Source organism: Homo sapiens, chromosome 5 (assembly GCF_000001405.40).
Source record: "Homo sapiens chromosome 5, GRCh38.p14 Primary Assembly".
NCBI classification, from domain to species: Eukaryota; Metazoa; Chordata; class Mammalia; order Primates; family Hominidae; genus Homo; species Homo sapiens.
In genome coordinates this window covers 76,927,574-76,944,790 of record NC_000005.10, presented here as the reverse complement: position 1 = coordinate 76,944,790, position 17,217 = coordinate 76,927,574, and the positions used below count along the sequence as shown (strand labels likewise).

The 17,217-nt window shown below is 42.2% G+C and overlaps 1 protein-coding gene across 3 annotated transcripts in view; it reads right to left on the bottom strand.

The window, feature by feature from the left end:
* S100Z (S100 calcium binding protein Z) overlaps positions 1–17,217 on the bottom strand; it is a 102,940-nt gene that overhangs the window by 8,163 nt on the left and 77,560 nt on the right. For 2 of the 3 annotated variants that reach the window (NM_001437779.1, NM_001437783.1), the window contains one exon: positions 8,459–10,103. The exons of the other annotated variant lie outside the window; for it this stretch is intronic. The gene's annotated coding sequence lies outside the window, so the exon portion shown is untranslated. Of the gene's footprint in view, positions 1–8,458; positions 10,104–17,217 lie in introns of those variants that run through there. 3 annotated transcript variants of the gene reach the window in all.

The following is a 17,217-nucleotide window of genomic DNA, read 5'->3' as shown; positions in this document are numbered from 1 at the left end:
ACATCAGCCTCTTCCCTGACAGCAGAGAAATGAAGTGTAAAGAGCCTCATTCCTTAGTGCCTTAGAATAGATCTAAAAGAGAAAAGTCTGCCAGCTACGTGCAGTGACAGAAGAGGATCTAAATAAGGACAGCAGAAGAGAAAACTGCAAGCTAGCCGGTGTTTAGTTATCTGTGGTGCCTCCTAACCTCACCTTGGTGGGACTTGCCAGCAGCCAGCCTGCTCTTCCTCTCTGCCAGCCTACCCCTTCCTACCCACCCTCCTTCCTTCTTTGAACAAACTCTAAACAACAGATTTAGTTGTGTACTCAGTATTTTTTATATAGCTTGAAGAGCCTTTGTCATATTTTATTCTAACTTTTAATATGTCTGTTTTCCACCCTAAATGCAAATGCCTCTAAGTTCCACCATGCATCTCACCCATCTTCCTCCAGAGCACCAGGCATACATACACCTGGCACTCCTGGGAGGTGCCTAACAGAAAATTGAATAAAGGAGCTTTTATTTCCACCTAGTTACAAACTAGGGATTCGTCACCACTCAAATGCTGCTGACAGCATCCGAAGATGTGGCACCCACCAGGCAATGAGGGTTCAATGGTAAAACCTCAGGAAAAGGAGGAGGTGCTGAAAGGATTCCTGGGTGGCCTCTAAAAGCCCAAGCCAGCTCTGCAGTGTGGTAGCAGCACAAGGTGGGGAGCAAGCTGGAGGGATGGGGCCGGGATAGGGTGAGGCAAGTAGGGGACTCCCAGGGACACAAAAGTTAAGGGGATGCCAAAAAAAAAACTCAGTCATGATAAATAATATTATAACGCAATCTGTTATAAAACAAAAATTAATGCAAAAATCCGTGCTGAAAAAAATGTCAAAGTTTTAAATAAATACACTGTGTCAGTGACTTTTCCTTTTGCCTCGGGCCCCATTCTGGTTTCTGCATGTGTTGGCTAATAGAATGGAAACAAAAGGACCCTGGATTGGGTGTCCCAAGTCCTGGACCCCTGGCTGGGAGCATGGGGTCATTCTCATCTCTAAGGTGAAGGATGTGGGAGTAACTATCAGAATCACTGCAGGAGACAGATGGTGTCTCAAATTGGGTAATTTGAGGAGTTGAATAAAAGGACTGTTTACAAAGGTGTGGGCAATGTGCAGGAAAAATGCAAGGAAGCATGCAGTGTCCCAGGACCAAGAGCAGAGAGGAGCTGTCACTCTGCCTCCTGGGCACCGAATGGGTAGGAGGGCACAGACAGGAACAGGAGGGGCAAAGGAAGACATCCAGCCCTGGAGCTATCAGGCCTCTAAGGTCCTGCCGTGGTTTTAAAACTTGTCTGCAAATTCTTTGACACTCTTCTCACAAAAAGGTAGAGGCTAATTCTCTTTCCATATGACCTCTTAGGCTAAGTTAGAAAAAAAGCAAAATGCCTTCAGCCTGGAGTTTTCTCTCTCTCATGCAATATGTGCCTTTGGTACCCTGAGCCACCATGAAAGAAGTCCAGCTACCAGGAAGCCACTATGCTGGAGAGGTCACATGGAGAGACCACATACAGGGAGATGCCCTGGAGCCCTAGCTGTTTCGGTCCTCAAATGTTTGATCATCACAGTCTGGGTACCAGATGTGTGAGTAAAGAAGCCCTAGAGGTGACCCGGTTCCAGCCACCATCTGACTGCACCATCATGAGAGAACCCAAGACAGAACCCCCCCACTGTGGCACATGTATACATATGTAACAAACCTGCACGTTGTGCACATGTACCCTAAAACTTAAAGTATAATAATAAAAAAAAGAACCACCCCACTGAATACTTCACAATATCTAACCCATAGGAACCACGAGAGATAATAAATGACTGTTGTTTTAAGCCACTAAGTTTTGGAGTGATGCATTATTCAGGAATAGATAACTAATACAGGCCCTTTCCATTTCTAATTTTCTACATTCTCTGGGGCTCTGAACTAGGGAGTCCCCAAGTGCTCCAGCTGTATGACAACCTTTGTCTGTGAAACCCTTGAGCTGAATCACCATCTGTGAGGCATAGCCTTGGGCCCAGATGGCTATTTCTAAACTGAATCAACATCTGTAAAAACAAGCTGACTGGTGCCAAGCTCAACTTATGGGGGCATAGGAAGTGGATGAAGAGCTGATACTAAACACCCCAGTGTCTCAGCCCTGAGCCCAGCACACTCTCACCAGCTGGTGTTGGAATTATGTATGAAAGATCAATAAACCCTGCTCCTTTTTCAATGCTGACATTTTAACATTTCTAATCATTACTATTGTGCAAACAAACAAGTTTCCTCTAAGTCATTTAGGAGAAGACAGTCATTTAATATTAAAGAAATAGAGGTTTTTGCTTTTTTTTTTGGCCAATATAATAGCTATACTGGGCTAGGTATGGTGGCTCATGTCTGTAATCCCAGCACTTTCAGAGGCCGAGGCAGGTGGATCACCTGAGTTCAGGAGTTCAAGACCAGACTGGCCAACATGGTGAAACCCCGTCTCTACTAAAAATACAAAAATTAGCCAGGCATGGTGGCGGGCGCCTATAGTTCCAGCAACTCAGGAGGCTGAGGCAGAAGAATTGCTTGAACCCAGGAAGCGGTTGCAGTGAGCAAAGATCGCACCACTGCACTTCAGCCTAGGCAACAAAGCAAGACTCTGTCTACAAAATAATAATAATAAAATAATAATATTTATATGGTAGGTCCCATTCATGTTTTTAAATATCATGGTATAAAACTCACCAGAACACTGAATACTTTTAGAGTTAAAAAGTAAACATCCAGAACCAACTGAAAGTGCTCTCGATGGCCAAAAATGGAACAATTTGAGCAACAAAATAAAGTAATATTGGATTATAAACCAGTGAATAAAATAAATTTCTACAAATCCATACTAATATAAATGATTGAATAAATTAATAAATGGGGAGAAGAGACAAGTCTCCTGCCCAGAAGAATCCCAAATATTTTATCTGGATTCCCTGCCATCAAGGGGGGGGAGCATAACTCCCCGCTCCTTAAAAGTGCACTTCACATAGTGACTTCCCTCCAAAGAGGATAGCATGAGAAGGGGGAAGGGAGGGGTGGAGTGGGTGGGGAGTAACTCTACAGTGGAGAAGCCTGACAAACACTATCTCAATCCCAGTCAATATCAACAGTGATGAATCACATTGGTAGTATCCACCCTTGTGTACTACTCTGTTCTCACGCTGCTAATAAGTACATACCCAAGACTGGGTCATTTATAAAGAAAAAGAGGTTTAATGGACTCACAGTTTTACATGGCTGGGGAGGCCTCACAATCATGGCAGAAAGTGAAGGGGGAGCAAAGGCACCTCTTACATGGCGGCAGGCAAGAGAGCGTGTGTAGGGGAACCACCCTTTATAAAACCATCAGGTCTCATGAGACTTATTCACTATCACAAGAACAGCATGGGAAAAACTCACCCCATGATTCAATTACTTCCTGCCGGGTCCCTCCCAGGGCATGTGGGGATTATGGGGGTGACAATTCAAGATGAGATTTGGGTGGAGACACAGACAAACCATATCACTTTGACATTGTAAAAGGAAAACAAAAATCTTGGCGCCCCAATTCACTATGTCAAAACGAAAAAAATTAAGCTGAAAGTTGAGTCATGCAAGAAACTGTCTTTCCTTTTGTTCTTGCATGTACAGCCTGCAGAACGGTGAGCCAATTAAACCTCTTTTCTTTACAGATTACCCAGTCTCAGATATTTCTTTACAGCAATGCAAGAACTGTATTAGTCAGGGTTCTCCAGAGAACCCTGGAGAATGGACTAATACACACCCATAACCCAATCTGATCATGAGTAAAACAGACAAATTCCAACAGAGGGGCATCCTGACCAGTACTTCTCAAAATTGTCAAGATCATCAAAAACAAGAAAAGTCTGAGCAACTGTCCTAGTCAAGGGGAACCTAAGGAGACACGACCAGCAAATGTAATGGAGTATCTTAGATGGGATCCTGGACCAGAAAAAGAACATTTGGTAGAAACTAAAGAAATCTGAATAAACTATGGACTCTAGTTAATACTATTACATAGAGATTGGTTCATGAGGCTGGGCATGTTGGCTCACGCCTGTAATCCCAGCACTTTGGGAGGCCGTGGTGGGTGGATCACTTGAGGTCAGGAGTTCAAGATCAGCCTGGCCAACATGGTGAAACCCCTTCTCTACTAAAAATACAAAAATTAGCTAGGTGTGGTGGCAGATGCCTGTAATCCCAGCTACTCAGGAGGCTGAGGCAGGAGAATCACTTGAACCCAGAAGGTGGAGGTTGCACTTAGTTGAGATCGTGCCGCTGCACTCCAGCCTGGGTGACAAAGCAAGGTTCCATCTCAAAAAAAAGAAAAAAAAAAAAGAAAAAAATTGCCACTTAATTCCATTCACATTCACCTATAGTTATTCCCTGCATTTTCCTCAGCCTCCTTTGCTCCAGATCCCATCTCCACCAGGCTGCAAAACCTTCTCTGTTAGGTTCCTCCTAATTTTTACATCTGCTGATCACGTCCTTTGTTCCTTGACTTCTCTGCATTTTTTGACAGTTGCTTTTTTTCTCTTTTTGGAATTTATTCCTTTGGTTTTAGGTAAATTTGATTTTTTTTTTTTTTTTTTGAGATGGAGTCTTGCTCTGTTGCCAGGCTAGAGTGCAGTGGCATGATCTCGGCTCACTGCAACCTCCGCCTTCTGGGCTCAAGTGATTCTCCTGCCTCAGCCTCCCAAGTAGCTGGGACTACAGGCATATGCCACCATGCCCAGCTAATTCTTGTATTTTTAGTAGAGATGGGTTTCACCATGTTGGTCAGAATGGTCTCGATCTCTTGACCTCGTGATCCGCCCGCCTCAGCCTCCCAAAGTGCTGGCATTACAGGCGTGAGCCACCGCGCCTGGCCCAGTAAACCTGATTTTTTAAAGGAGTCAGACGTGCCAATTTTAAAAACATTGAAAAAATGAATTAGGCTGGGCGTGGCGGCTCGCACCTGTAATCCCAGCACTTTGGGAGGCCGAGGCAAGTGGATCACCTGAGGTCAGGAGTTCAAGACCGGCCTAGCCAACATTGTGTAACCTGGTCTCTACTAAAAATACAAAAATTAGCCGGGTGTGGTGGTGTGTGCCTGTAATCCCAGCTACTCAGGAGGCTGAGGCAGGAGAATTGCTTGAACTCAGGAGGCAGAGGTTGCAGTGAGCCAAGATCGCACCATTGCACTCCAACCTGGGCAACAAGAGCAAAACTCCATTAAAAAAAAAAAAAAGTTAAACACCAATTTTGTTTCATACTATTTCACCCTTTATATGATATATAAAAATTTGCAGCCCCAGGCCAGGCGCAGTGGCTCACGCCTGTAATCCCAGCACTTTGGGAGGCCGAGGCAGGCGGATCACGAGGTCAGGAGATTGAGACCATCCTGGCTAACACAGTGAAACCCCATCTCTACTAAAAGTACAAAAAATTAGCCAGGCGTGGTGGTGGGCGCCTGTAGTCCCAGCTACTCGGGAGGCTGAGGCAGGAGAATGGCATGAACCCGGGAGGCGGAGCTTGCAGTGAGCCGAGATCATGCCACTGCACTCCAGCCTGGGTGACAGAGCGAGATTCTGTATCTAAAAGAAAAAAAAAAAAAATTTGCAGCCCCAAACTTAATAGTTGATTTTATTTACATCTTAGACATTGGAAGAGCAGAGCAGTCAAAGAATAATAGTGCCAAGGTTTTTCCTTTCAAAATCTATTTTTCTCTAATCTGAAAATATGATCCTAAAGAAATATATCATTTGTAATTATCTGGGGTGGGGAGCTGTCATAATAGGTGGTCCTTAAAGTTACTGGCCATGTCATAGGGAGGCAGTGAGATATGAAGACAGGGATGCATATTTCAAAATTTCAGGTTTAGGTTTAGAATTTTTTTTGCATGATGAGCAAATAAAGGGATAGAGGCACATTCTATTAGTTTAAAAACATGGGGCCCTGGAACAACTTAATATCTACATGGGAAAAAAACATGATCTCTACTTCACACCATACATAAAAATTAATTTGAGATGGGTCACACACATAGACGTAAAAACTAAAACTATAAAATATGTAGAAGGAAACATAGGGGAATGCCTTTGCAATGTTGGGACAGGTAAAGATTTCCTAGGTTACAGAAAGCACTAACCATTAAAAAACTAATAAATTAAACTTCATTAACATTAAACATTTCTGTTCATCAGAAGACACTGTGGGGGCTCAGAAAGTGATGCCCCCAAGTGAAGGCTTCAGAAGCAGCCTCAAAAGCAAAGTTCCTCTGGCTCTCTCCTGCTTTCCTGTCTTTCACCTCTCATTCTTCTTCAAGACAAGCCACAGAAACTAGAATTTCTCTTCTGCAAAGTGGTTCATAAAAACCAGAACCCAAAAATCCCCAAAGCCAGCCATAAAACATAAAATACTACTCTAACCTTCCCCTGCCTTTTTGAGTAAGAACTGGACATAAAGAAATTCTCTTACCTACTTTGTTTGATTGTAGGTCATGCAACTACCTTTCCACAAAGGGTCCTGGCCCATACCCAGGAGGAAAGAGTGAAGCCAAGAAGAATCTGAATAGACAGGCATTGATTGAGTCCCCTGTCTATTCCCATTAGGTCATACCTTTTTGACCAATCTCATTTCTTTTTTTGTTTTTTTGTTTATTTTTTGTTTTTTGAGACAGAGTCTCATACTGTTGCCCAGGTTGGAGTGCAGTGGCGCGATCTCGGCTCACTGCAACCTCTGCCTGCTGGGTTCAAACTCTTGCCTCAGACTCTTGAGTAGCTGGAATTACAGGCATGCACCGCCGTGCATGACTAATTTTTGTATTTTTTGTAGAGACAGGGTTTCACCATGTTGGCCCAGCTGATCTTGAACTCTTGACCTCTATAAAGTTCTAGAAAAGAAAAAGGGAATGAAAGAGCAGCAGAAACATAATAGGGATGAAAAGAAGAAAGGGAGAAAATCACACAGAAAGGAAGAGGTCTTAGGTTGCCTCCTTTTTTTTTTTTTTTTTTGAGACAGGGTCTTGCATTGTTGCCCAGCCTGGAGTGCAGTTGCGCAATCATGGCTTACTGCAGCATCGACCTCCTGGGCTCAAGCAACCCTCCTGTCTCAGCCTCCTGAGTAGCTGGGACCACAGATGTGTGCCACCACATCCAGCTATTTTTTTTTATGGTAGAGACAAGGTCTCACTATGTTGTCCAGGCTGATCTTAAACTCCTGGGCTGAAGCAATCTGCTCACCTCAACCTGCCAAAGTGCTGGGATTATAGGCATGAGCCACTGTGCCTGGCCTACCAACATTTTGTGAATTGTAAAATATAAAATAGGTAGGGAAGAATATATAAAATGCACATCTAAAATTTAAATAAGAATAATAAAATGTATTATTATACTATCTATATTCCTATCACTCTAGTTCTTTAAAAAAAAAATCAAACATTACCAAGGTATTACCCCAGGTGCAACCCCTTCCTCCTCATTACATAGGGCAAGAGTATTCATTCCCCTGCTTTTTTTTTTCTTTTGGTTATATCACCTACATATGTGTCCTTAAGTGATATGTTGCTTAATTTTGCAATCTTGAGGGGCAAGCATAAATTTAGCCTTTATGAAGAAGCCATTTCCAATATCTTATCTGGAAGGGTCAGAGTCTGGCTGTTGGTGTCCTGGACCTGAGTGGAAAGGTCAGGGAGGGCTCTGCAGCCGGGATTTGCTGAGCATAAGATCACTTATTCTTTCTGTTTTGCGTATGACGATCAGACTTCCAACTGTGTCTAGTGTCCATAATACAGAGAATAAGCTTCCATACTCCTGTTGGGTGAAGGATGAGGGGCTCAAGGGCTGAGGAATGACGAAGGAGAGACCGTCTCTTGAGATCTCGCAGCTTCTCAGACAACCTTTCCCAGTGCTCCTTCTTTCAGTGCCCTTGCCTCTTCCCTCTTCCCATCTCCATCCCCAGTGGCAATCCTAGGCAGGATTCTGCAGCCTAAAGCAGCTTGGTTCATTTACCTACTGCAGCCTTGAGGTTAGGCTTTTGCGAGCCTACCAAACCAGTTTCCAAAATGTTTCCAGCTTCCAAAACATTCTTGCTGTTGTTTCCTTCATGGTTGTGTGTGTGTGTGTGTGTGTGTGTGTGTGTGTGTGTGTGTAGGAACTTTAATGGAGTTTTGGGAGAGAGTAAAATTGGATGCTGATTCAATCTGCCATCCTCACTTCACAAATATTTTTTTGATTGACTTTTTTCTCTATTACACCAAAAAATTGTATGTTCATGGTTTTAAAAAATTGTTTAAAATATAAATAAAAAAGAAAAACCATAAATCAGCCTTAATCCTACCATGTAGATATAACCATGGTTAACGTTTTGATATTTATCCTTTTAGATATGTACATAATTTTTCTTATAAAAATAAGCTTATAGTGCACATACTAATTTGCAATATGATTTCTCGTTTTTATTGTTATTTTTCAGAGATGCAATATGATTTCTTCATGTCACATATCACAAACATGTTTTTATATCATTAAATATACTTTTTCCACATCATTTAAATGGGCACACAGCATTTTACTCGCATACGATATTATTTTATTTTATCAATTCCCTATTAATAAACATTTCTATTATTTCTAATAGAATAATTTACTATTGTAATCAAACTGATATACAATTTAAAAGTCATTATTTTGGCCGGGCACGGTGGCTCACGCCTGTAATCCCAGTACTTGGGGACGCCGAGGTGGGCAGATCACCTGAGATCAGGAGTTCAAGACCATCCTGGCCAACATGGTGAAACCCCATCTCTACTAAAAATACAAAAATTAGCCCGGTGTGGTGGTGTGCACCTGTATTCCCAGCTACTTGGGAGGCTGAGGCAGGAAAATTGCTTGAACCCAGGACGTGGAGGTGGCAGTGAGCCGAGATCATGCCATTGCACTTCAGCCTGGGTGACAACTGGTGACAAGAGTGAAACTCCATCGCAAAAAAAAAAAAAAGTCATTATTTTGAGTCTTTAGACTTAAAGCTAAAGGCTTAAGCCAATTAATTCTCAAAGGTGATATCCTTTGAGTCTAGATTCAAGGATAAATCAACAGACCAGGGAGAAGGCAGTACCACATCTAGTATCAGAGGCACGTTAGATCAATTACTTTTCATAAAATTTTGAACACTGTGAATCAGATATGTTCCCCAATATTCACTCATTGCCTTCCTTTCCATTTAGAGAAGAGATGGAAAGAAAAGGAATAGAAACATGAGGCCAGACTGAGCAAAGTGGTTGCTTACTTTATGATGCTAAGATGGTGGATTTTAGACTGCATTTCATAGCACACTATTCCTGTCTGTGAAGACCTCTAGGTATTCTGAGATCGAGAAAGGTCAAATTAATCTCAATGATGTGTCAAATTAGTAATCATATTAATTCCATATTGTCACCTGCTCTTTGGCAGGTTTGATAAACCATGTGTTAAATCGATTATGCAAATAATTTTAGCTAAATTAAAACATCTGTTCCACACATCACCAGATTTCAAGGTGAAAGTCTTCCTGAAGGTGAGTTTTTAGTCCCACATTAAATATGACATGTATTTTGGCTACGTTGTGCATTGGTTTGCCAGCATCACAATCACCATTTGTGTCTTTCTTTTCTTATGCCAGACATTGAGATGCTACATTTTGGCAGCATTTGACAAAAAGCTAGTTTGTTTTTCATACATAATACATATTGACATAAACCGTAAAACTTGGAATGAAAAATATGGCATGACTATAAGAGATGTATCTTTTCACTTCATGAAAGGATGACTCATGGGGCCACAAAGGGCAAATAGGGTGGATGCGTTGGAAATCCCTCCAGGAGACCCCAACAAAATATATAGGCATTTGACAACTCCTAGAGCTTATTGTCTTAGTCTGTGTTGCTATAACAAAATACCACACACTGGGTAATTTATAAACAATAGAAATTTAAATTCTCACTGTTCTGAAGTCTGGGAAGTCCAAGATCAAGACACCAGCAGATTCAGTGTCAGGTGAGGGCTGCTCTCTGCTTCCATGATGGTTCCCATTGCTGCCTCCTCTGAAGGAGAGGAACACTGTGTCCTCACATGGTGGAAGAGACAAAAGAACAAGAGAATGCTCCCTTCCACCTTCTGCCCTTTTATAAGGGTGCTAATCCCATTTATGAGGGTGGAGCCTGCATGATTTAGTCACCTCCCAAGGGCCACACCTCTTAATACTGTTGCATTGGGGATTAGGCTTCAACATGAATTTTGGAGGGGACACTATTAGTCAAACCATAGCACTTGCCTACTCATTTCTCCTTTTCCATGAGATCACTTGGCCTTGAGTTTGTAACTATGTCTTCATTTTCTCTGCCGCCATCTTTCCTTAGTTGCATTTTCAATAGAGAAGAATGAAGTAATTCACAAACTTTAGTTTTGCATAAGAATCAACTGGGGAATGTGTTAAAAGTACAAGGATTATCGTTTAGAAGGATTATCTTAGTAGGGTGGAGCCCAGAAATCTGTGTTTTTTAAGCACTCATGGTCATTCTGATTTAGTGGTCTGTGGTCTGCATTGGGAGAAACACTTGGTAGAGGATGATTAAGAGCATGGACCTTGGAGTGTGACATCCCTGGATATGAATTCTTCCTCTGTCACTAATTCTTCTGTGGTCCTGGGCAAGTTATTTAGTATAAGTCTCAGTTTCCTAGCCTATATAATGGGATACTACAACATGGATGAAACTTGAAAACACTATGCTAAATGAAATAAGCCAGAAATACATGATTCCACTTATATGCAGTATCTGTAACAGGCAAATTCATAGAGACAAAGTAGACTAGTGGCTACCAGGTGGTTGGGGGAAGAAGGAATAGGAAGTTTTTGTTTAATGGGTACAAAGTTTTTGTTTGGGATGGTGAAAAAGTTCTGGAAATGGGTGGTGGTGATTGTCCCACAGCATTGTGAATATACTTAATACTGAATTGTACACTTAAAATTTTGGTAAAATTTTGTTATGTATATCTCACCACAATCAAATGAAAGGTGTGGCCATGAAGAAATGAGAATAAATTTTCAAGTTGTATTCTTAAAAAATAGGAACAATAATTCCTGTACCCTAAGGTTGTTGTGAATATTGAGTGAGATAGTATATGAAAAGTGTTTACTTAGTACAGGGCCTGACATGTAACAAATGCTCCGGGGATGGTAGGTAGCTACCACCCAGTAACAGGCGACAGCTCCTTCTGGTATTCAGCAGCATATCACGGGCCGTTCTGAGCAGGTGAGTGGTTATGTCGACCAGGTCAGAGACTGCTCAGCTCTCTAGGGAACATTCACACTGTTTGAGGTGATTCCTCCACCCGCTGGGTCCCAATTCTAGAAATCCTCTCGAAGAGGCCGTCTCACTCCACAGGATTCTTCCCTGTTCCACTGTACTGACAGAGGAGACACCACTGGAACAACGTTTTTCTTTCCATGCTATCCCTTGAGGGAGGCGAGAACTCCACCCAGCAACACAGTAGAGAACAGGAGATGGGAAGCCTCATCCGGGCACTCCGCCTGGCTTCTCTGAAGCTCTCAATCCCCCACCACCTGACACCCCTTCCTCTTTCTCTCTCCTTTGAATCATCTCAATTTTATCCCAAACTTGGAATACTGTGGACTCTAAAACTTTATCCTTAAACATCCTTTTGAGAATAACTCCCACAGTTGCAAATAGCGAGAATTGAGATTATGACAGTAAGTTAAATTTAATTACAAAAGTACCTCTTTGTTTTCCCTTGGATTTATTTTAGCATTGATGAAGCAAATATAATTTTCATTTTAATGAGTTTCAGCTCCCACTGGTACTAAGCCGCTTTGTTTAGGTGTTAAATATTACAGAGTCATTAAAGGCTTTTCTTACACTTTTTTAATCTTTCTTCCCAAATCCCATCAGAAAAAAATGTCTAGCTTTATTTTGTTTTTATTTTTAAAGCGTTGATGAAAAAATAAATGAATTTTCTTTGTAAAAGGTAATGACTAAGTCATTCATCTGTGGATGGGAAGGGGTCGGCCACACAGTGGGAGACATCTCCCTAACTGGAGTTTCAAAAATGGTCTTCACAGCCAGGCACGGTGGATCACACCTGTAATCCCAGCACTTTGGGAGGCCAAGGCGGGCGGATCACTTGAGGCCAAGAGTTCGAGACCAGCCTGGCCAACATGATGAAACCCCATCTCTGCTAGAAAAACAAAAATAAGCTGGGCGTGGTAACGGGTGCCTGTAATCCTTGCTACTTGGGAGGCTGAGGCAGGAGAATTGCTTGAACCTGGGAGGCTGAGATTGCAGTGAGCTGAGATCACACCACCGCACTCCAGCCTGGGCAACAGAGTGAGAGACCCTGTCTCAAAAAGAAAAAAAGTCTTCACTTCGGTCTCATCGTGAGAAGGGCATAAAAATCTTGTGCTGTTGAAAGCCTAGGAGAAAGCTCTGCAAAATGCTTATTTTCCAACTTAACCAAATTATATTACTTAGGTTGTGCCTATAAGACATCAAAATAACTTGTCAGTCCTGCGCAAAAACCAGACAAACAACAGCAACAAATCTCCTATCTTTTCACTGGGGAGAAAAAAAAGAATTTAAATGCTTGAGTTTACAACCTATGATTTTGAAAGATGCAGACACAACACAAGTGACCTTTGAAAATAACTGACATCTTATGAAAAGATATATTGGGAAGTTTTTGTTATAAATTATATATATAAATAATAATCCATGTTAGAAAAATCCGCACTAGTGGTCAATGAAAAAAGATAAAATAACATAATTTTACCATCCAGAGATAACTACCATTATGGATATTACCCCTACTATGTTCCTCTGTCTCTCCTATGTGTGTGTGAATGTGTATATATGGACATCCTGGTGTCAAATTTTACACACTGAGACTTATGTGTGCACAAAAAAAAAGAAGAATAAAAAAAACCCAAATGTTCTTTCTTTCCTGTAAGTGATCTCATCTTGTTCTTAAGATTGCAGCTTACTTCTGGGTATTAGACTCCCACAGTCAGTGGCCTCCTAATGCAACCTTAATGTTCTCAGATTCGCTATCCATCTGGTCTTTTCTATAGCACTTCTCCATCCCCACCAAGGTTCAACCACGCTACGGGGCTGAAGGTAAGGACACCTCCTATTATGGACTGAATGTCTGTGCCCCTCCCCACTAATTCACAGGCTGGAGCCCTAATCCTCCATGTGATAGTGTTTGGAGATGGGACCTTTGGAAGGTAATTAGGTTTAGATGAGGTCATGAGTGTGGGGACCTCATGATGAGATTATTGTCCTCAAATAAGAAGAGAAAGAGGAGCCAGTCATGGTGGCTGGAGACTGTAATCCCAACACTTCGGGAGGCTGAAGTGGGTTGATTGCTTGAGCTCAGGAGTTCAAGACAAGCCTGGGCAACATAGTGAAACCCTGTCTCTACAAAAAAGTTTTTTAAAAAATTAGCCAGGTGTGGTGACACACCTCCATAAGTCCCAGCTACTCGGGAGGCTGAGGCGGAAGGGTCACCTGAGCCCAGGGAAGTGGAGGTAGCAGTGAGCTGTGATTGTGCCACTGCACTCCAACCCTCGACGACCGAGTGAGACCCTGTCTCAAAAAAGAAAAAAAAAAAGGAAGAAAGAAAAGGAAAAAGAGAGACTAGAGCTCTTTCTCCCTGCTCACCCACCTACAAGCCAGCAAGAATACCTGTTCCATACCCCACTGCCCCCACTCCTTCAGGCAAAAAAGCTGTTAACTTTGCCGACCCCATTCTAGCTCTCATAGGCTGCTCTCGAATTGATTTAGGTGTCCATTTCCACAAAACCTCTGCCAAGCTGGAGTTTTAAAATATCTCCTCCAATGGACTCCTACACAATTTCCCAGATGGGTAATATTCCAGGAAATCATAGGGCCTCAAACACTCTTCTTCTCCTTGGATACCCGCTTTACCCTACACTTCAGACATAATGGTCAATTCCTCAAAAACATCAGTGCTGAGTCAAGCCCAGTGATCAATAGAACAGAGCTCAGTGGTATTAAATAGAATTATGACCTAAAAGTAAAATTAAAGCAGCCCCAGCTGACAAGCTAACAGGGAATTTTCAGAGTCGAGTGATTGCATCTTTTCTAAGGTATCGAGCTGCAGAACTTCTTGCTGAGGATTGAATAGAAGGGTTTGGTCCAATCACCTACTGCCCTAAGCAACCAAACCTTAGGCTTTGTGGTCCTGAAACCCACACTGTGAGATGTGTGCCTCCTTACCATGGAAATTAAATAAGATTGGATTTTTATGTGCTTGAGACCTAAGTTCAGTCCTGGTTCTATTGTGTTCCTAGGGACCTTGGGTGTATCATTTCTGTGCACCTGTTTTTCTTTTTGGTACAATTTGGATGTGCAATCATCATGTTGCCAGACCTGCCCACGCCTGAGCATAAGCAGGGAGCTTGCTCAGTAGAGCGATCCCAGCTATTTCTCTGGAGATGCTGTCAGAGTCTGAGAATCTCTGTCTAACACGCATCACAGATAATTCTGTAGCACAGACGAATTTAGGAAACACTGAATTTGGAAATCCCTGGCTGTTTTCTAGCTTTCAGATTTCTTTGTTTTAAAGATTTAAAGATGAAAAACTACTCTTTGTGGGAATAGAAGATATCTTCACTGCAAACACCTCCCCATGTTGTAGGAAAATCAGACCAGCAGCTGCAACAGTAGAATTTTAGGATGCTGATGCACAAGAAGTTTTTATTAACATTCTCCTCTTCACATGAAGGTCTACAAATCTCTTGTGCACATGCCTGTCTGCTTTCCTTTTACCTGTTTCTGTTAGCTCCTATTAATTGAGCCTCTTTCCTTTTGTGGAAGTGGGTTGGGATCTCAGATCAATTGAACAATGTGTCCCTGCAGGTTGGGTTTTTGGTATGGTAAATAACACCCATCAACCAGCTATTGGTTATTTGGATACTGTTGGTGACCATTCCATCCAAACATTGCACCTGTTTTGCAATGTATAGTTTAGCCTGGTTCTACCATTCACTCTGATTCACAGGCTGCATATAATAACATTCAGCCTCTGCTTGGTTTCTGACACATTCAGGTTAACCATAATGACCCCAGCTTCCATCTCATGTCACCTCTTGGTGTACAGACCCAAAATACTGAGTTCTATTGGAATAACTGTAAAGCAAAGTGCAAGACCATAAGAGGATATTGTCATGCACTTATATTTGGCCAAATTTGTCTGGCACAATCAATTTGGAAACAATGCTTTTAATTCCCTTTTACTGCATGTATCAGGACAATTTTCTGTTAACTAATAGGATATTTCATTTTCCTGCATATATCTGAGAGACAAATTGTTCAATTGGTCCAGCAACTCTTTCCCTGAATTAGTAATGGAGTTCCCAGATGAAGTGGACATATACAAATCAAAGCCTCATTTGCAAACTTTTTTCAGAAAACAAAAAAGGTACAATATGCATCTACCTTCACCCTTCTCTCTGCCATGTAAAAATCCAGGCTGATTATATAACTCAAAGACCAAACCTCTTCCTATGTTTTTCCATGTGTTGGGTGCATTGTCCAGCGAGGAGCTGTAATTTTCTCTCTGCCACATCCATCATTAAGGTTGACTATTAGGTTTCTCCTACTGTGGCTCAGATTCTAATACTGAAGGTAACTCAAGAGACAGCCAAATAGCCAGGCACAGAGGCTCACGCCTATAATCCCAGCACTTTGGGAGGCCTAGGGTGGAGGAACACTTGAGAGCCCCGGAGTTCGAGACCAGCCTAGGCAACATAGTGAGACCTTGTCTCTACGAAAAATGTTTAAAAATTAGCTGGGCATGGTGGCACACCTCTGCAGTCCCAGCTGCTCAGGAGGCTGAGGTGGGGGAATTGCTTGAGCCCAGGAGTTTGAGGCTGTAATGTGCCGTGATTGTGCGCTGCACTCCAGCTTGGGCGACAGAGTGAGACCCAATCTCTAAAACGAAAATAAAAACAAAAAGAGACAGCCAAATAGTCAACTTCTACCCCAGTAAGTGACACTGGGAATTTTCATAGGATTAAAGAGTCCCATCTGGATATGAAAAGACCTTCTGTTTTTTACTGAGCCTGAGCTGCTTCTGTCTTCAACTAATCTTCTGTCATTTTAAGGGAAGATGGAATCTGTGTGGCTTTGATATTTTGCTACTTTCTGTACCATAATGCAGAAAGAAAGCAGCAGCTTAAGTAGCTTCACCTTCCCAGCTCACCCCTGCTCCATACAAGCCTTTTTTATTATATAAAATATGCCATGAGGGACAAAGGCTTCTCACTCCCATCCTAAAGGTGCATTATCTAATTTTCAAAATGTCTGTGAAGCCACAAGCACAGTGGCACTTACAATTGATTCTACCAAGTAAAAGATTATTCAGGAAGCAAACAAATTATAAAATTTCAGACATCTTTTTGCAGCTTATATGTTCAGGTCCTCTGCGTTGGGGAGATTATTGATGGCCCTGTTATGGTCCTTGTTTCCCTTGCAAGTGGAGGACCAAAAAGCTGTAATTTATAAAGGTCTCCATTGTGTAAAAATGACAGTGAACTAGACCCTTTGTTTCAAAACAAAGGAGGCAGTACTGACTCGGGTGCTCCTAAAGGATACGTGAAATCCATATAGATGGTGAGGGCATGGGAAGTATTCTTGCCCATGTGTCTTTCAATACCTGTGTAATGCCAGCACATGCCCCACCCAAACCCCCACGTCCTCAGAGCAGAGTCTAGGCCTGTGGACAGGGAACAGCACACACACAGATGGGCTTAGAGTCAGCTGGGCTTCAGCTTGAACCTGGCTTTTCCATGTATTTGCTGCAGGATCCTGGGAAATTTGCTCAACCAGAGCCTTGGTTTCCTTATCTACGAAATGAGGATACTAACCTTTCCCTGTAGGCTTGTTGAGAAGTTTCCATGTCATAACATGGGTAAAACATGGGAATGAGGCTGGACCTAAATGAATGTTAGTCTTCACCTTCCTAACTCTCCTCTTTCTACAACTGTTGTTCATAAGCTGAAATTTAATTCCTTATTTCTTCTTTCATCAAAATGCCCTTTGAGTTTTCTTTTAAAATTTCCTGACAGCTTTCCTCAGGGGCCTAAGCCACTATTGGAAGGGTCTTTAACTTCTCCCA